The 21,510-nt window shown below is 39.4% G+C and overlaps 1 long non-coding RNA gene across 5 annotated transcripts in view, besides 1 other annotated feature; it reads left to right on the forward strand.

Annotated features, from left to right (window-relative positions):
- The window catches only part of LINC03063 (long intergenic non-protein coding RNA 3063), a 50,602-nt gene extending 39,727 nt beyond the window's left edge, over positions 1 to 10,875 (forward strand). For 2 of the 5 annotated variants that reach the window (NR_187224.1, NR_187221.1), the window contains 2 exons: positions 2,097 to 2,217; positions 3,024 to 3,174. This is a non-coding gene — a long non-coding RNA (long intergenic non-protein coding RNA 3063). Of the gene's footprint in view, positions 1 to 2,096; positions 2,218 to 3,023; positions 3,175 to 9,960 lie in introns of those variants that run through there. The other 3 variants (NR_187222.1, NR_187223.1, NR_187220.1) reach the window with 2 other exon arrangements.
- Positions 598 to 647: a silencer, noted in NCBI's record as "silent region_11360". NCBI's record gives its function as "represses an Ori minimal core promoter by ATAC-STARR-seq in GM12878 lymphoblastoid cells {active_cell/tissue: GM12878}" and the evidence as "EXISTENCE:reporter gene assay evidence [ECO:0000049][PMID:35858748]".
- Positions 10,876 to 21,510: the final 10,635 nt, after the last annotated feature.

The following is a 21,510-nucleotide window of genomic DNA, read 5'->3' on the forward strand; positions in this document are numbered from 1 at the left end:
AGAAGGAGAATGCACATCTTATTCCTTTGATGTCACCAAACTGTCTGACATATTTCCCTTCTCTGACATGGTAGGTGTGTCTCAAGATTACATTCATTTTGAATCAGCATTTATGAATATTTGATTTTTAAAATTTTCTTTTTGAATTTAGTGTTTGAGATTGAATTTAAAGCTATATTGAGGTAAAACTTCCAAACAACCAATAAACTTTACTCATTTAAAAAATGCAATTTGATGAGTTTTGGCAAATGTGTATTCCTGTGAAACCAACACAATCAAGATACCATATGTTGCCATCAAGACATGGAACATTTCTACCTGCTTTGTAACTTATTTCTTTTTCTACATCCTTCTCAATGTATTTTTTAACTACTCCTAATATTGTGGTAACAAGATATGCCTGGGATTTGAAAAAAATGGAAAAACATGTTTGGCAATTTAAACATATTAATCACAGTTGTTTTCACGTTTGTGCCTGATAATTTTAATATCTGAATTAGTTTTGTCTTTTTCCCTCTGGTTTTTCAGACAGTAGTCTGATATTATGGTTTGTTTTGTAAATTTTGATTGAGTCCAGACATTATATGTGAGAAAATTAAAGTGACAAGTTGAAAGTGGAGGCTCACAATAAGGTTTCCTTCCTCCAGTGAGGGTTTAGAACAGAAAGTGATCAGCTTAATCCAGTTTGGCACCATTCTGATTTGAAGCAAGGTTTTGGTATTACTAAGGGCCAGTCTATTTCTAGTTTCACCTTTATTCCTAAGGTGAAGCCCTTCAGAGGTCTTTTCTGAAAGCTGGGTTTATTGATTTATCCAGGATCTTCCATCCTGGTGAGCTCTGAAGTTCTATTATTTGTCTCCCATTCTTTTGAAGTTCTGAAAGTGCTATTTATCTTCTCAATGTCTCTACCAATGCTTATGAAATGACAAATGCCTTGGGTGAAAAGTATCACTGATTGTCTGATTCACCTCAATATTCTTCTCTTCTTTTTAAAATCTTGGCCCTTCAAGTCCTGGCTGCCTTGGTAGCTCTCTGATTACTTCAAATACACACACACACACACACACACACACACACACACACACACACACTTGAACTGTTTTCTCTTTTTGTATTTTCTTAATATGTGCTTCATTATTTCATTATCAATCCAGTTATCCAAACTAGGAATCTGGGTATCATCTTTCATTCCTCCTTCATTGTCTGTATACAAGTAATCACCAAATTCTATTTTACCATCTAAATATTTCTCTAATCTCTCCCCTCCCCTATATCTCTACTACTAGGTTACTATTTCAATTTGGAACTCAAAATTTACTTTCTTTGAGAAACAATGTTCTAAACAATTGGTAAATTCTCAGGCAAGTCTACAAAAGTCATTACCTATTTGAAATGCTGTCACCGCATGAGCCATAAACTCTCCCAACTCCAAGTTCTGAGGGCTCTTGATCTCTGAGTCTCATATCTTTTCTAAGTCTAGAATTCTAAGATCCAGCCCAAATGTAAATACCATGAGCCAGTTGGATGAATGAATAAAGGGAAAGAAAGGGATAAGAACTTAATGTAAACACCGGTAATATGAAGGAAAATCTGGCTGAGGAAGCGCAAAATAAAGCATGAGTACTCTAGCTTTCAGAAAGGGTTCTTGGCTAGGGTTGTCAGATAAAATACATGTAACATTTGGGACATACTTATAATAAAAATTATTCATTATTTATATAAAATGCAAATTTAACTGGGCATTCTTAATTCTGTTTGCTAGATCTGTCAATCCTATACTAAGCTGAAAAAGCAGGATTAAGACCCTAAAGTGTGTAGAGAGTATATAGATAAGAACATAGATATAGATAGATAGTTGGCAAGTGAAAAATTTTTTTAATGCAGGAGCTTTATAGACTAACATGGTGCACAGATATGACCAAAACTGAGTCTTCAGTTGCCACATTGTAATTTTGAATGTATGGGGGCATCTTGGCATTTCTAAGAAATAATGCTGCAGGTGACATCAGCAAGATGGTAGAATGGGCATAGTCAATGGATGAGTAGTCAACCTTCATCCCTCCCACAGAAACACTAATTTTGCCAATCACCCACAGGTGAGAGAACCTTTGTGGGAGCGCAGAAGTCCAGCAGAGAGACCCTAGCACTTTATTTGGACCAAAAAATAAATAATAAATAAATAAATAAATAAATCCAAAACTAGATGCATTAAAGAAGGTAAGAACAGTTTTACTTTACCTGTGTCACCCCTCCCCCAGTGTGGCACAGATCAGTGCCAAGAGAGACCGCTTCAGCCCAGTTTCTTCCACAGGGGAAAATGAGAACAGTGAGTGCCTAATTTCCTCAGCTGTAGGATGCTGTAGAAGAGACCCACTTCTGCCTCACCCATTTGAGAACCCTGAGGGAATCAGTATGGCTGAATAATCTGGGGGTAGCTAGGAGCAGGGAAAAGGGGCAGCACTCACAGCAACCTGAGTATGGAATTCAGCAAAGAGCCACAGTTTCTATTAACTACCTCCCAAATTCCATCAAGAGGGCCAGCCACAAACTACATAGGATGCATAATCTGCAGATCCCCTGACTAGCCCATGTGTGCTTCCAACCTTCTGCATGCCCTTCCCCCATGTAGCTGGCACCCTGAATGCACCCCCATGGATAGCATGTACAAGCTTCTGCAGATTGTGCATGAGAACATGAAGATAACTAACTTGATTCAGGATTGGAAGGAAGTGACTAATCTTGAATTTTTCAAGGCACTTCCTAGGGAAGATAAACAGGAGGCTTACATTGCACCTGGCCTGACTTTTGCAAGATCAAGAGAAGGAATATGCTGTAATTTGAATGAAAATTTAACATTTAAAATTTATGTTGAAGCTGAATACTCAATGCAATAGTACTAAGAAGTCTAACCTTTGGGAGGTGATTAAGTCATGATGACTCTTCTCACTTGAATGGGATGAGCACTCATAAAAGATGTCAAGGTTTATGGGAGTTCTCTTTTGCCCTTCCATCCCTTCTGCCAGGTTAGACTTCTCCTATGGAGAATGCAGCAAGAAAATACCATCTTGAAGCAGAGAGCAGCGCTCATCAGGCATCAGTCCTTCTGGAGCCTTGATCTTGGACCTCCCAGCTCCAAAATAATAAGTAATAAATTGTTATTGCTTATAAATTACACAGTCTCAGGTATTTTGTTACAGCACCACAGAATAAGACAACATATTAATATAATCTTGACACTTGTCTACCCCACTCAAGAGGGAACAAGGGAAGTGGAGCATATGCATCTGTAGAAAAGTTCTGAGAGACCACCAGAATCCCTATTTAAGCTGACTAATGAAAGTCTTTCTCTTTTGAAAATAGTCAGTAAAGATTGGAAGAGGTAACTCCTTTTTCAAATGCGAAGATAGTAGTGAAAGACTTCAAAGAATGCAAAAAATCAAGGACACATGACTTCACTAAAGGAACACGATAATATATCAGTAACCATCCCAAAGAAATGGAGATCTATAAATTGCCTGATGAAGGATTCAAAATAATTGTTCTAAGGAACCCCAGCAAACTACAAGAGAAAACAGACAACTCAGTGAACTCAGAAAAAATACATGAACAAAATTAGAAGTTCAATAAAGTGATAGAAATTATAAAAAAGATACAAGCAGAAATTCTGGAACTGAATAATATAATTAAATGAAAAATTCAATAGAGAGCTTCAGACGCAGACTTAAGCAGAAGAAAAAATCTCTGAGCACAGACAGATTAGATAAAATTATCCAGTTAAAGGAGAAAAAATAACAATAAAGAGTGAAGCCGATTAGATTTATCGGACTTCATCAAATAAATGAATTAATATATACATTATGAAAGAGAGATAGAAAAAGGGGACAAAAGCTTACTTAAAGAAAAAATGGCTGAAAACTTCCCAAATCTTGAGAGGGATATGAACATCTTGGTTCATGAAGCTCAAAAATCCACAGACAGGAAAACCCAAAGAAGATTATAATGAGACACATCACATTATAACAAAATTATCAAAAGTCAAAGCCAGAATTTTGAAAGCAGCAAGAGAGAAGCAGATTGCAACATTCAAGGGAACCTCCACAAGGCTATGAGTAGATATCTCAGCAGAAACCCTGCAGGGCAGGAGAGAGTAGGATGAAATATTCAAAATGCTAAAGGTGGAAAAAAAAAAAACCCCTGCCAATCAAGAATACTATACCTGGCAAACCTGTCCTTCAGAACTGAAGGAGAGATAGACTTTCCCAGGCAAACAAAAGCTGGGCTTCCTCAGCTTTGCTACTACACTCGCCTTACAAGAAATGCGAAAAGGAGTTAAGTTTAAAGAAAAGGATGCTAATTAGTAACACAAAAACATAAAAGTGTTCATATGTTTACTCACTGGTTAAAGTAAGTTGATAGTCAAATTTAGAATGCTGTAAGATTGCAATGGTGGTATATAAATCACTTTTCTAGTACAAAAGAAGACAAAGTATTAAAAATTCAGTTGACCTATTGTCCGAAGAAATTGCTCTATAAAGAGGAAGTGCCTCCTTATATTCAAACAAAATAAAACAAAAGCTTAGACAACCATTCAGAAATATAGTCTGATAGAACAGAAAGTCTTAGACAGGGAGGCCTGGTTCTGTCTTTTTCCCCTGCTAGATACTGTTTTCCTATATTGGATGAGTTCTTTAACTTTCCTTGTCTGTTTTCCCATGCATAAAAGAAAGGAAAAGATTCAGAAGATGGGTGCATTCTGGGGTCTTGTTAAAATGCAGGCTCTGACTCAGAAGGTCTAGGGTGGGTCCCAGATTCTACATTGCCAATAAACTCCCAGGTGATGCTGGTCCATACTTAGGTTAATACTACTACATATTCATCCCATTCCTAAAGGAGATTGATCATACACAAATCATGGCATCAATAATCCTGGCTGATAAAAAATTCGGGACAAAGAAAAGTTGTATTCATTCAATAAAGGCAATATTACAAAATGCAGTTGACCTTTGGAGAATGCAGAGGTTAAGGGCACTAACTCTTCCCCCATGTTGTCAAAAATTTGCATATAATTTTTGACTCCCCCAAAACTTAACTACTAATAGCCTACTGTTGACTGAAAGCTTTACTGATAAACAATTGATTAACACATATTTTATATTTTATGTGTATTATATACTGCATTCTTACAATAAAGTAAGCTAGAAAAAAGAAAATGTTAATAAAAAAATCATAAGAAAGAGAAACTATATTTACTATTCATTAAGTAAAAGTGTGTCAGCATAAATGTCTTTTCATCCTTGTTGTCTTCATGTTGAGTAGCCTAAGGAGGAGGAGGAAGAAGAGAGGTTGGTCTTGGTGTCTTAGAGGTGGGAGAGGAGAAAGAGGTGGAAGAGGCAGGCACACTTGGTGTTACTTTTATTGAAAAAAAATCCTCATTTAAGTAGACCTATGCAGTCCAAATTTGTGTTGTTCAAGGGGCAATTTTAACTATATAGCTATAATAGGTTAACAGATACACAATATAAAAAGATGGAAATTTTGACATCACTAACATAAAATAGGTGGGGTGGAGAAGTAAAAGTGTAGAGCTTTTGAATGCATTTGGAGTTTAAATTATCAGCTTAAAATAGACTTAAAACTATAAGATGTTCTATGTAAGTTTCATGGTGACCGCCCCGCCTCCCCACACACACACAGGCTCTAATATATACACAAAAGACAGAGAAAAAGGAATTAAAGCATACCTCTACAAAATATAATCAAAACAAAAAGAAAGCAAGAGAAGAAATAATTGAAGGAAAACAAAGAAATAATTAACTAAATGGCATTAGTAAGTCTTGTCTATCAATAATTATTTTAAGTGTAAACAAATTAAATTCTCCAGTCAAAAGACATAGAGTGGCTACATAGATTTTTTTTTTTTTAAAATCCAAGAATATGCTACCTACAAGCAACTCACTTTAGCCTTAAGAACACATATAGGCTGAAAATGAAGGAATGAAAAAGGTATTTCATGCAAAAGACAGCAGGGATGACTGTACTTATATTAGTCAAAGTAGACTTAAATCATAACTGTCGCAAGAGACAAAGGTTATTATTTAATATATAGTGATCAAAAGGTCAAGTTATAAAGAGACTATAACAATTGTAAATATATATGCACCCAACATCAGAGCATGTTCTAAGTATATAAAGCAACATTAACAGAACTGAAAGGTGAGGTAGACAGCAATGTAATAACAGCGATTTCAATACTCCGTTTTCAACAACTTCCAACACTTATCAAGACTGAATCATTAAGAAATAGAAATAGAAATAGAAAATCTGAACAGGCCAATAATGAGCAAGGATATTGAATCAGTAATTTAAAAAAAGTCTCCCAACAAAGGAAAGCACAGGACCAGATGGTTTCACAGATGAATTCTACCAAACATTTAAAGAAGAATTAAAACTAAGCCTTCTCAAACTCTTCACAAAATTGAAGAGGAGGAAACACTTCCAAACTCATTTTATAAGGCCAGCATTACTCTGATTCCAAAGCCAGAAAAGGATGCTACAAGAGAAGAAAATTACAGGCCAATATCCCTGACAAACATAGATTCAAAAAGTCTCAACAAAATATGAGCAAACCAATTCAGCAGCATATTAAAAAAGCATACATACCATGATCAAGTGAGATTTATTCCTGGAATGCAAGGTTGGTCCAACATACAAAAATCAATCAATGTAATATAACACATTAACAGAATGAAGAATAAAAATCATATGATCATCTCAATAAATGCAGAAAAAGCATTTGACAAAATTCAACATCCTTTCATGATAAAAACCCAACAAATTAGGTATAGAAGTAATGTACTTCAGCATAATAAAGGCCACATATGACAAGCCCACAGCTAAAATAATATGGATTAAAATCAATACGGATTAAAGACTTAAATATAAGACCTGAAACCATGAAACTATTAGAAGAAAATATAGGACCAAAGCTTCTTGACATTGGTCTGGGCAATAATTTTTTTTATATGACCCCAAATGCACAGGCAACAAAAGCAAAAATAGACAAGTGGGATTGCATCAAACTAAAAAGCTTCTGCGCAGCAAAGGAAACAATCAACAGAGTGAAGAGACAATCAATCTATGCAATGGTAGAAAACATTTGCAAACCACATATCTGGTAAAGCCTTAATATTCAAAATATATAAGAAACACAAACAATAGTAAAAAAAAAAAAAACCTAGATAACTTGGTTTTAAAAATGGGCAAAAGACCTTTATAGACATTTCTCATTCAAAGACAAGCCAAGAGATGGAAACAACCTATGTGTATGTCAGTGGATAAATTGATAAAGTATGCTGTGTGTATATAAATATATATCCCATACTTTATATGGTGTGTGTGTGTACATATACACACATACATATATATATACATATATATACACACATATATAAAATGGAATATTATTCAACCTTTAAAAAGAAGGAAATCCTGCCATTTACTAAAACATGGATGAATCTGTAGGATATTATGCTAAGTGAAATAAGCCAGACACAGAAGGACAAATGCTGTATGATCTCACTTATATGTGGAATTTTTAAAAGTTGAACTAAGAAAAGCAGAGAGTAGAATGGTGATTCCCAGGGTGTAAGGACAATGGCTGCATTGCAGTCAAGTATAGGCCGAGGTACACATCTGGCACAGCATGACACAGTGGGATTGGAGTGCAGACATGCAACCCCATGCGTTATATAATCATAGCTATGTAGCCATAACATGGGAAGTTTCATCACCTGGCTCTGAGCCACTGTTGTCTGCGAGGTGCATAAATGCAGCACCAACAGTGTCAGCGAGCTGCTGAATAAAGCCATGTCTCACCTACCTGTGGCCTCTCGAGTGTTCTTTCAGCTACCTGCCACCCCAGCGAATCCCCTCAGACCTCATCTTGGACTGGAACCTAATACAGGGGCTTTGGGGGTGGTGGTAGGGAGATGCTAGTCAAAGGGTACAGAGTTTCAGTTTTGCAGGATGAATAAGTTCTGGAGATGCGATGTGCAGCATGGTGACTATAGTTAATGGTGCATTGTATACTTGAAATTTTCTAAGAGAATAGATCTTAAGTGTTCTCACTAAAAAAATGAAAAGGTAACTACATGAGGTGATAGACAAATTAGTTTGATTGTGGTAATTATTTCACAATATATACATATATCAAAACATCATGATGAACACATTAACTATATATAATTTTTTTTTGCCAATTATACCTCAATAAAGCTGAGGGGAAAAAAGGATAAGCTGCCATCTATTAAATTTTCTCCCAAGCAATCGGTTGCAGGTTTGTGCTAGGAAAATACGTCACTGTGAGTTCAAAAATCATGCAAGTGAATTGAACTCTGCTAGCATAATCTGATGAGTAAAATCCATTTTATCGTATTAAGAAACATTTGCGAAGGCGAATGAATGAATGACTTGGAGTAGGTTTTCCCTAGCAAAAGAAACGATCACCTGAATTGTTCTCTTAGTGTTGTCCATGTCTGTTTTTGTAACAGAGAGCTGGTCAAACAGCTGAGTGATGTCTGAAAGTGTTATCTCTCACCTCAGCTTTATGGACAGCAGAATTAATACAGGAACTCAGAGGGGAAGTGATTAGACCTTACAGTGAGAGCAAAGCAATGTCTTGAAAGATGCTTCTGCCACTGTCAAGGGCTGTAGAATCTTTTAAAGGCTCCAGCCTTAATTTATGAGTGAGTGCAAATCAGATATTATTTTTAAGTGTCCTGTCAAGAAAACTTGCCAGGAATTCCTTCATAAAATAGAGAATCCTCTTGTAAAGCAAACCACTCCAAATTTGGGAGAAGGCAATGCCAGAGAATTTCAACAGTCTGCCAAAATCAAGTTATTATCTGAATAACTTGGCCCTTTAGTGAGAAGACTAACTTGTTTTTAAAAAAATCTGTAGCCCTAATTAGAAACATTTACTAGAAGTCAGCTGGTCTCATAGCAGCAGCTAATTTCTGGCCTGGGCTAACTTTGTCATCACGCTTTAGGGAGGATAACTGAAGATCCCTGAGGATCCTGGAAATTGATCATCAGCAAACTGGTGGCTTCTAAAAGTGAAAAGAGTTGAGAGCAGTGATCTTCAAATGGTTGCTGTACATTACAATCACTTGTAAAATCTTTTAAAACATGATGTACAGGGACTTTTAAGGGTCATACCAATTAAAACAATAACTGAGGCTAGGACCCCAGGCAGCAGATCTGAAAATCCCCCATGTGATTCCAGTGTGCAGCCAAGATTGAGAACCACTGGCTTTAAGCAGAGCAGGGATTCTCATCCTAGCTACATGTTAGCATCACCTGGAGAAAATTCAAAGAACTACTGATGATCAGGATTCACTGAGAACAATGCAGGTAGAGTGTGCAAAGGCTCAGGAGGTGTTCAACTGATGGCTTAGTGAGCATAGGCAGTAGTTCTCAAAATGTGGTTCCAGAACCAGCAGCATCAGCATCAGCTGGGACCTTGTTGGCAATGCAAATTCTCAGACCCCGACCCTACACCTACTGAACCAGAATCTCCAGGGATGGGGCCCCAGTTTCTGCATTTTAACAAGCCTTTCAGGGGATTCTGATACAGGCTGAAGTTACATAACCACTAGGATAGTGAATAAGAACATGTCCCTGGAACTAGACTGCCTGGGTTCAAATCTTGCCTCTGTTACTTGCAGAGTAACATGGGCTACTAACCTTTTCTGGGCCTCAATGTCTCCTTCTGTCAAATGGGGATAATAATGGTTGTCTCCACAGAAGGTTGTTAAAAGGGGCAAAAGAGTGACATGTGAACAGGGCCTGGTATATGGGAAACACTACATAGTGCTTGTTAAATAAACATGTTGATGTGCTCTCGTTCTAAAGAGATGTGCGTCTTGGATGATATTCAGTAGGTGTTATTTTGTACTGCAGCAGACACTTGAAGAAGCATCTTTCTTGTGATCTCCTGGCTGGTACCCTGAAGTCCTGTTATGCCAATGGACCAGCAACCCTCGCAGGTAGGAATTACTGCTAGAAAGACTATCCTCTCTGCAGGCAAATTTCTGGAAGGATACTATTTTATGGGGAAAAATGTGAACAACTGTAGGTAATTTCACAGTCTGTAGGGCTTGTCTCCTATTTGTAATTTCTTACATGTTTACTCGTGGTGGAAATGTGGAGGTGGCTAAGGAACAAGCAGGCCCGCTGTGTTTCAGTGGCTTTCAGAGAAGGTGGCGGGAAATAGTCTCTTCTCAGCAGCAGCTGAATCCCAGTGTTAGCAGACGGAGCCTTGTTTCTTGAAAGTACATTCCCAGGGATTCCCTTGAAGAATGTGAGAGATCAGCTGGAATGAAACTGGATGTTTTAGGGTCCTGAGGGAAATGTAAATCCAGCAGCTTATTCTCAAGATGTGGCTCCAGAACCAGCAGCACTGATTCTTCTAAAGAGTTGAGAGTGCATTTTAGCTGTGATATCTTTGTACTCTTAAGAAATCCTCCTCAACAAGACAAAACTTGACCAAGAGCATTCAGTTGTCTTCCAGAAGGCTCCCTTGAGGACTGGGACTCTTCCTGGATGCACCCAATTAATCTATTGAAACAAGGACTCGTGATGGCAGCCCCTCACCTGACAAACTGGATTTTCCCCAGAGATCATTTGTAATGTTTTTCCTGAATCTTATTTGTGTTTCCCTATTAGCAATGTTATGTATTTCTATATCGCAAATCCTAAGTGCCGCCTGTAGAACCTAACCTCCATTTATAGCATGGAACACACAGCCCATCACGTATCCTTGCCCTGGCCTTCAGCCTCTGAATATTTTAATAAAAATCACTCTTTCCTCCTTAAGGACCATGTTCTTTAAAAGCTTAACACATAGTTCTTAATAATTGGTTGCTTTACTTGATGTTTCTCTGTTTATCTTGGCTGCCCAGAAGCTCAGACTTAAATGTAAGAGTCTACTTACAGTAACAACCTTGTTGCGGATACAATTAATTCTCCCTATCTTGTATGTGGTTTCCGTTGTCTTTATTTATTATCTTTATTTAAACCTTTAAAAGAGTATAGGATATCAATTTATGAAAAGAAAAATATTTTTTTTAGTTCAATTGAAATCCCTGTTTTGTACCACACTATATTTAATGCCCCATATAGTTCTAAAACTCTGCATGATTCAAAGCAGGGGTTCTTATTCTGGCGTGTGTGTGTGTGTGTGTGTGTGTGTGTGTGTGTGTCTGTATGTACATACCTCAAGGGAGTCTCTAATTTATATATATAATTTATATGTATATATACACACATATATGCACACACACACACACACATATATATACTTTATATGTAACATATATATTAAATATTATATATGTGTATACATACTACACATATATATACACATAGTGTTTGTGTGTGTGTGTGTGTGTGCACTTTTGGAGAGAGAGCATCTCTAACTTTCATTAGTTTATGCAAAGAATTTATGACCCTTCTCTTGCCCCACCCCCAGACCCAAAGTTAAAAATTACTGGTTTAAAGGGACCTGGAAGTAAATATCCAAGAATAGGAATGCACACAGCTCCGCCTTCAAGTCTTCCTCCCCAGTCAGTAAACATCATTGTCATTTATTTTTGGCCTCTTTTAGGAATCGTTCTTCTGACCAAGCAAGTAGATGAATTGCTATATATGGAGCCAGTTCAAAGCAAGGCACAACTCGCTGGTTTTAGATACCAAAGAAGTCCTACAGTTCAATTATGACCTGGGGGAGGTCAGAGCTCGGCAGGTGAATCTTGCTTCTGAATGAAGCTGAGGCAGAGGGAGCCGACTTGCTTCACCCTTTCCCTCACTGGTTTCCCCCAGGGAGGCCTGGGTAACAGGCAGGGTGCAGCTCCTAGGCACAAAGATGCCTACTGATTGTGCTGGGCCAGGCTGTGGATGGGAGTTGATGGGGCAGCGAGATGCTGGGCTAGAGGCAGCAGTGGGCACCCATGACACTCAGGGAGCTGGATGTCAAGCCACGGAAATGAAATCTACCAGAGTATCAATGAGTCACAGCTGCAGCATGTTCTGAGTCCATGCACAGTGCTGTTGCCAGGAGACCCAAGACAGTGTTTTCCAAAGATGCTTAAAGCAAGTCTCCTGAGCTGGCTAAGGATGCACCATAGGGTAAGCGGCACAGAGCACATGCGCCATCACTTTCCTCCTCCTCTCCAACCAGAGAAGTACAGCAATGATCTGCTTAATAGTAAGACATGTGACAGCAACAAGTACACACTAAGTCACTATTCCTCTTGTTTCCCTGTAAGGGGAACTTGGCAGTTTTTACATTTCTGTCCCCTCATTCCCTCCTCTCCAGAGGAGGAGTGGCTTCCCTGATTGGGGAACTTGGGAGCGACGCTTGAGAATGTGGGCTCAGTCTCCTCCTCTGCCCTCGAGCTTTGGGAACAGCCTGCCTCAGAGGCCATGTATTCTGGTCTGTTTGATTCCTTTGTACTGTAGTTTTCCCTGAGAGGACTCCTTCATAGGAGACTTCTAGCTGTCCAGCACTGCTGTGGATACGCTTAATTTGGGGATGTAATGCTGGCATGCTCATTTGGTCCTCACATCTAAGTCACAGTCTCCAGTAGCTTTACCAGTAATGATACTGACGTTTTGATCTCCACTTCTTTCTATTGGTTCTGAACATAGGCCAGTAAGGCAGGAATGCTTTGTATTGGTCTTTTAAAATTCCAACAATTTCTTCTGAAGAAAGGGCTCTCCTAGTTTGAAAAATCTTAAGACAATCTGATCTCAGGCCCTGTGGGTGGTTAACAATATTTAGGGTCATAAAAGCTGGTTAACATCAGCAGGCAAGAGATCTTGGAGAAATGAAGGGACAGAAGTGGAGCAGACAAGGAAAGGGTCACCCTACCCCAGCAGTCACAGAAGTCACCAAACTTCACCAACATGATCTTCCAGCTTGAGCTGCCTCTCCATGTCCTCTCTCCCCGGCCAGATCTGATTCAGAGAGTGCCTGGGCCAATGAACATCTAACTGATATATTGAACAAATAGAGTTTAATCTGGTATGATCATGAAGTCATGTTTTTCTCATCACTGCTCCAGCGAATGCCATCTTGGCTCCTTTCTGCTGACTCTTGCCTTTGAATGAAATCTCACAAAGACATCCTCGTTTTGGTTATTCTTAGACAATAATGGAAAAGTCCTCTAGTTACATCTAGCCACAAAAAATATATATCTTATTTGAAATTAAAATGTCCAGGCCCATGTAATAGTCACATTTAGAGTAGAAACCCTGTTATCCTCCATGCAGGCTGGCTTTCTCCTAGAAACTTGTATGAAGTCAGGGAGGGGAGGCATACCTACTTTCTGTATTTCTACGGAGCATGTTTACCATTCTCCTTTACTTACTAGGTTGTCTTGGATGACCCAGGGCTGAGGCAGGGGAACAAGAAGAGATAGGGAAAGTTCTTGCTGGATGGTCTGGTGCTGGTCTCCTCTGGCTATGGGTCCTTAAGAGGTTCTTTTGCTGGGTCCCACTAACTACAGCTTCTAGCCTTTTCGGCTGAGGTCACTATACTATTTCCAGAACGTACCCCTGAGTGGGGTCACCTTTTAAATGACCCAAGTTGACAGTCCTACTACGAGTTACACATCTTGGAGTCACATGCCAGTGGCCTGGCATTTAAATCAGAGGAGGCTTCAGCTAACATCCTCTTGCGACTAGTGGCAAAGGGTTGGTGGCCTGGGTGTGGCTGGCTGCTAGAGTGTGGAGCTGGCAGAGGTTTTGCTGGTGAGATGCTGCCGGGGTTTTGGAGGAGGAAGTGGGTGGAAATGTGGGCCTTGCCCTCTCTCAGCCTGTGACAGCCTCTCTCTTTCCTGCTCCTGTTCCTTGCTGTTGGTTGCCCACTTTTCCCTTGCATCTCTCAGGCCTTGCCTTCTTCTTTGCAGTCACAGCATCCACGTCATCTTTTCCTTTTTTTATAGGATTTTTGGCTTCATAGAGAGGCTTGGTGGTACCAGCCTCTCTGTTATTTTTGTTCTAAGCCAGCCACATCTTCCCCTTTCACTTGCTAGACTGAGAGTATTCTGGGTGACTTTGAATTGAGCAGAGGTTGCCTTGGCAATCTGTGTACCCAGGGATATTGATTGGGACTTCAGGAAGTTCATGTGAGCTGACATGCAGACATAAGAAAGGGTCTACTGGGCAGAAGGAGCCAGGGCAGGACAGAAGCTACCAAGAGGAAGGGAGAAGGGAGGAGCTGCCTTAGAGAAACACAGGATCTGCCTGCCAGGAGTTCACAGGGTTCAGCAAATGGCCCAATTGTGATAGACAAGAATTACACAGAGGGAGTAAGTTCTAAAGCATTTAAACATTCCAAGCAAAACAATAAGGGCTGTGAATATCGACTCAATAATCCTTCCTATTCTAGGATTTTGGAAAAACCCATTTTACGAATTCCCTACAAAAAGTTTCCAAATCACTCAGAGAATAGTGTATTTGCCTGAAAAACATCCAGACATTCCTTATCAGCAGGCTTATGCTGCCAGCAGTGGTAACACTGTGCTTTCCCCTAAGATGTGCAAGGTTATGAGCCATGGAACAGATGTTTGCGGTTTATGACTACCTCTGCTTAAGCCTGATTTCTTAAACAAGTAGTATCTTTCAGGTGCCTTCTAATATGCACTGACTGCATTTGCTGGAGGCCTCTGTCTTAACACAGTCTCTTAATTCCCCTTCCTTTTGACTGTGTGGTTCCAGGAATGCTTGGATTTTAGTAAAATCCTGGCCTTTGATTAGGGCTGAAACTGTGCCTACTGCCCTAATGGTACATGGCAAATTAAATATCCCCCAACTTGGGTTTTGATGTGTTTGCTCTGATGAACTTTTCTCATTATGGGTTGATATGGTTAGGCTTTGTGTCCTCACCCAAATCTCATCTTGAATTGTAATCCCCATAAGCCCCATGTGTCAAGGGAGAGACCAGGTGAAGGTAACTGAATCATGCGGGTGGTTTTCCCCATGCGGTTCTCGTGATGGTGAGTGAGTTCTTACGAGATCTGATGGTTTTGTAAGGGACTCTTCCTCCTTTGCTAGGCACTTCTCCTTCTTGCCACCTTGTGAAGAAGGTGTCTTGCTTTCTCTTCGCTTTCTACCATGATTGTAAGTTTCCTGAAGGCTCCCCAGCCATGCTGAACGGTGAGTCAATTAAACTTCTTTCCTTTATAAAATTTCCCAGTCTCGGGCAGTTCTTTATAGCAGTGTGAGAATGGAATAATACGTGCATCGAAGGGCAATTCACGTCCTTTCTCTCCTGGGTTGGATTTCTGGAGCTAAACTCAGGTTTGCAGGAGTTAGCATTACTTCTTCACCATGGAAAAGAAAAACAAGGACAGGTGGTTGCATAAAGGACCCAGTGATTAAATCGAAAGCACCTGTGAAAACTCAAAGTCAATATTTTCTTTAAAGGAAGGGAGTGTACACAATCATGGTTGTTTAAGTTAGCTACCATAGCAGAAATGACCTGAATATCAATGATTGGCTTCAGCTGCTCAGCACGTCCTTCGGGTCGAAAAGTTGGGCAGTGGCCTCTGCCAACTTGTTTTTAATGAGATATCCTAATATTTTGAACAACATTGCTATGCTTCTATTTCTACCTTAATGAAAACAATGATATCACTTATACTTATTAAGCACTAGCCATGCATCCAGCACAGAACTAAATATTTATATGGATTATCTTGATTAAACTCCTCACAATAACCCTATGAAGTAGCTGCTATTTTCACGAATAGATGATAAAACAGAGGCTTAGAGACAATCTGCCCACAGTCATATAGTTTGTAATTGAGTCAACCCATGGCTGTTGTGACTCCAAAGTCCATGCTCTTACTTAGTATTGCCTGCCTGTCTTCATCAGTTGGGTAGAAGGTAACTTCTAAGTTTGTGTGTGTGTTGGTGGCAGGGGTTGGTGTTTTTTTTTTTTTTTCCCTTCCCAGGTGTTTGTTATCACAATGATTTTCACAATTCCATGTCCTGTTCCTGTGCTCTCTGTGGTGTTGACTGCATCAGTGGGAGCTTAGCTGGGGCACCTGAGTTCTCCTCCAGGTGTCCTCTGTGAGTGGTGTCTCATCCTCCAGGGCATCTCCACATGGCTTCTCTCCAGCAGAACAGCCTAGTCTTCCTCACAACATGGCAGCTGGGATCCAAGAGGGAGCTTAACCAAGAAAACAAACCCCTTTTCCAATTGCTTATATTAAGCCTCGCTTGCTAAAGTCTCATTGGCCAAATCAAGTCACATGATCAAGCCCAGATTCAACGCAGGAGAGAACTTTACCAGGGGTAAATATCAGGAAGTGTCATTCATTGGCGAAGCCACAGTAGAACAGTCTATCTCATTAGTAATAATAGTAATGATATCTTTCATATATTGAGCACTTACCATGTGCTAGTCAGTGTGTTATAGGCTTTACAAAATTATTTTAATCATCATAGTAACCCAACCTATCAGCTTGGTTTTATTCCCATGTTATAGGAGAGGAAACTGAAGCTCAGACTAACCTGATAAAATGACAAGAGTGAATTCAAACACTGATCATTCTAAGTTCCCGATCCAAGAGATAGAAATATGGTATACAGAAAATGAAAAAAAATTTTTTTTTCGTATAATGATAGCCCTTGGAATTCATAAGGAAAAAAATAAAGGTACTAGTCAATGACTTTAATGCTCAGTAGGTAGCATGTTTAGGGGCCTTCCTGCCTCAAGACTAATTCTCTTGTATTTGCAGCCAGCCTTTCTAATTCTGGTATTTTGAATGGAGAACAGTCAATAAACAAAATTGGGTATAATTAGGCTAATCAAAATGTGAAATAATATAGTGTAACTTTTCTTTTAATCAGCCTCTTGTTTTATTCTTTGGCTAAATGAGCTGGTCTTTCCTCTGGCTGTGTTTTCAAAAAGTTCTGCTCCAAACCATTTGGCAAGCAGTGAGCTGGAGAAAGAACGAAGGGGAAGGGTCTATACCCTATAATGATGCAGATTTCAAAACATAGCTTGGATTTTTGGAAAATCCCTTCATGAGCATGAAAAATACAACAACTATGTTCAGATGCTTTTGCCAGCTGAAAACCACCATGACACTTGAGATCAGTTGCAAACGTTCTCTCCTTCCCCACCAGCACCCAGGGCTGTGGTCCAGGCAGTGAACACAGTGTTTGGCCTGTCCCAGGCCTAAGGGTGTATGAAGTGTGGGCATTGTTGGGTGAGCTTGGCTGGGAGGGCAGTGCCTCAATGCAAGGGAATCATGTGGAAAGATTCATGGAAATTTATATTAAAATATGATACCTCCAAAAATAATTTCTTGCAAGCAGCAAGAATTAACGCATTGTGAAACAAACAGAGCTTTCACTATTAACTTCAGGGAAGAAAAAAAGGGAGGGTGGCTGGCTCAGTGGAAAATATCGGCTGTAAGCTGTGATTTTTTTTTTCTTGCCTTTCCCATGCTAGATGGCACTAATTGAAGAGCTCAGTTGTTTGGGGAGGGGGTTTTTGGAGGAATGTAACATGATCACGTGATTTTTGGTGCATCGTGGGGTCCCTATTTTATTTTCACTGTTAACTCCACCATTGTTTTGGTCTTTGAGGTAATTTTAAATTTTAAGCTGATTGCATGATTTTTCTGGAAGTCAACACTCGGAGAAAAGGCTGATTTGGAGGGCCTGCAGAAGTGCTGGGGTGGGTGTTGACAGATCTGAGTGACATTTGCATGGTATTTCCCTGTGTCACCCCACCCCTGCCACCCTTAATCACCCTAGTGGCAGTGGTTTAATGACACAGAGATCCTGGAAAAGAGTGTTTCTCAACCAGTTTCTTTCAAAGGGAAGCCATGGAGGAAGGAGCCATTTTATCTGAGCAAACAGCAAATTCTTACAGGAGCTTGTAATGGCTGTCCATTCTCCCACTCCACCCCCCAAAATAGAACTTGTGGTGTGAAATGAGGACAGCAAATGATTCATATGTAGATGGGTTTATAATTCATTCTAGAAATAAAGCTGAGCCTGTAAATGACATTCCAGGAAAAATAAGAAAGAATGAGTGGCTTTAAGGGTACACCAGACTGCTTAGGCCAAAATTAAAATATTTGGTAGACTTAAAATAATTATATTTATTTTTTTGAAAGGTAATATGTAATTAAAATTTCCTCTGTGGAATAGTCACTTAAAATAGGTTTGTAGTATTCATATTGTGAATTTATGGAGGGATTGTATGCTTTGATCTCATCAATGGTTCTATAAAGAAGCTTTGACATGTAATGTTGATAGTGACAGAACAGAGGCTCAGATTCTGTCACTTTCCAAAGGTCACACAGGTTGTAAGTGACTTAAACTTGGAAATTGTGTCTCTAAAGCTCATTCTCTTTTCATTAAGTTATACAGCATCTCACTCTATAAGGCTGTGTAATGATGACAGTCATGGACCTGCTCACTCATGATCTGGGTGGTGAAGAGTTTTGGATTTAGAATTAGAAGAGGTAATTGGATTAGATTAGAGTCTCACCTGATGTTACTTAGCTGGGTGACTTGAAGCACATCACTAAAATTGTCTGAACCTCAATTTCATTATCCGTAAATTTGAAGGAGATATCATTTATTTATAGAGTTAAGACCAAAAATCGTAAGTGTAAAAGTTCTCTGAAGATGGTACAGTGCTCTACCATGATATACTATTTCTTAGGTACAAGCTATTATTTATTAGGCACAGCAACAGACTAGGAGCTAGGAGAAATTCAGAAGTCTTTTTTATAGCCTGCCTGACAACCTCTTTAATTATTTTCCATCTGCTCAAGAAGCTCCAAGCCCTGGCCACACTGAACTTTTTAATTTATCCTTTACACGATTTGCTCTCTCATATCTCTGTGCTCGTGCGTAACACCCCTCTCCTATGATCTCCTATGCATCTTTCAGAGGCTCTTTTCAGCTCTATTGGTAGTTTTCCTCTTCTAGGTGCCTATGCATTTTGTTCACAACTCTTATGGCATTTCCTACAGTGTGTTATAATTCATCTGTTTATATATATGCTTCTGCTCCTTCCTAAGCTATAAGCTTCTCAAGGAGACATGCTGCCATCTGTATTAAGTGTGCCTGGTACATAGTGGACATCCAAAGGCTTGCTCAATGAATGCATGACTAGAGGTGTAAGAATTACTGTCCTGATCCTCATACACATTACAACCTAATCGAGGATCATGACAAATAGACATGAAACACTAGCAAAATAAACAGGAAAAAGGATTCTGTGATGTAGGTGCAAACCCTTAGCATTGCATAAATTCAGAGGAGCAGGAGACCTTTGAAAGCTAAAGGAATCAGGGAAAGTTTCTGTATGTGGAATTGCTTAATGATAAGTGATGAATGGGGAAATCATTAAACCCACCAGAATTCCTTCAGGGAGAAAATCCTGTTAATTTGGAAGGTACGTAGATGCTAAATACTCAAGGGATCTGCTTCGGGGCAAAGCTGTACCATAAGAGGAAGAGCATTTAGCTATTGTTCTAAGAGATAAGGATGAGGAAAGGGAGAGTGGAGGTGGATTGAAGATGATGGCTGAAGACCACACACCCAGCAAATCTCAATGACATTGACTAAATCCTGAAGTGCTTGAACTGAATGGATTTTTTTAAAAAAGGAAACAATGAATGGACTCAAATTATCCATTCCTTGTGAATATAGGAACGTGGAAACAAAGAGGGAACCAAGGCACAGCTATTCAGAGAATACGAGATGGCCTTCTCAGGGTTCAAAGAGATAGATTTGGGGTTTGGGCCAGGTTTAACCAAATCTCTCAGGATTGCAGCTGAGGAGCAAAGAAAAGGGGAAGCTGATATCTGGATGACAATATCCAAATGAGTTGCATCTCCAAAGCAGAGAATTGGCCATGGGTCTTAAGGAATCATCCAAGTTAAAGCAAAATAATACTTCAGCCCTCTATATAAACATTCCTGTAGCCACTGCCCCCTAGACCTATAGTTTATAAATCTCAGTCTACCCAGTATGCTGATGGAGGAAAAGCTTTCACCTAAACACCGACCGTGTGAGTTGTTCATAATACTAAATTCATTTAACTTACAGAACTATATTTCAAAATGTTATTTTTCTGACATAATTGTTCGTTTTTAAATGAATTGATGGCTTTTGATGTCTTTACGTGGCAAAATTAAAATGTGTCAACTTCGTGTTCATTTTCTAAATTTCTTAGAGATTTTATTGGTCTATAAAATCCAAAATTTGAAGAACCACCTCTTTTAATATGACCCATAGTATCATTTCAGTTAGCTAATTTGCTCTGAATTAAATGGCAGATTTATTTTCAGTTCCTGAATTCATTACTGGTGGTCATGGTTGGTGTGGTTTATTAAGGCAATTCCTTTTCGAGTCACATCATTCGTAGCCTCTTCAAATTAAAATTTGTGAACAGGTATACTGCCACAGGTACCCTGAAGGCTGTCTGCATATGAACAGGGTTTGGTTTTGTAGTCAATATGCCATTCAACAAGATGAACCCCACAGTTAGTAAAAACAATAGCTTGCATTGTATTATTACAAAGCAGTGTTTGTGTAATGATTACATATTTTCACTTACATAATTATGAAATGTACAAGTGTGACTGCTGCACAGTAATTAGTCACAAATGGCACACATTTCATGTAAATGGCTGCAATTCCTGTGACTCTTCCTATTGGGGCTAGCTTCATGAGCGTGTGACCTATCTAGTCCCACAGGGTCCCCTTGCTCAAGAGGGCCCCATGTTTGGTTTAATGTGCTGTGGCTGCTGTCTTGAAATTGTTCATAATTTTTGACAAGGGGACCCACCCCACATTTCCCCTTTACACTGAGCCCTCCAAATTACATGGCCATATCCAACTGCTATTGCAAAGATTCAAGCTGGGCTGGGAGGTAGAAATAGAAGGACCAGGTAGAGAGGCAGGGAGCAAGACTGAATCCTTTTAGTCATCTCAGGAGCCTCTGCCTCCAATCCAACAAGAAGGGCTTCTCCTGTTACTTAGAAAGTCTTGGCTCTTTTATTCAACTGGAACAAGGAAGAAGAATTAGCTTTTCAGAAAATAAAAAGTTTTGGTTAGGTCACAGTAAGGGGGAGCTGGGGAGATGCTATGGTTTTGATATGTCCCCAGATTTCATGTGTTGGAAACTTAATCTCCAAATTTGTATGTTGATTGGAGATGGGGCCTTTTGGAAGTAATTAGGATTAGATAAGGTCATCAGGGTTGGAGTCCCCATGATGGGACTGGTAGCTTAATAGGAAGAGGAAGAGAGATCTGAGCTGGCATGCTCTTGCCCTCTCACCATGTAATGGTGAGAAATCAATGTCTTTTCTTTATAAATTACTCAGTCTGTGGTATTTTGTTATAGCAACAGAACATGAACTAAGACAGATAATTGATACTGAGGAGATGGGCTATTGCTAGTAAGAA

The sequence above is a fragment of the Homo sapiens genome, chromosome 2 (assembly GCF_000001405.40).
Source record: "Homo sapiens chromosome 2, GRCh38.p14 Primary Assembly".
NCBI classification, from domain to species: Eukaryota; Metazoa; Chordata; class Mammalia; order Primates; family Hominidae; genus Homo; species Homo sapiens.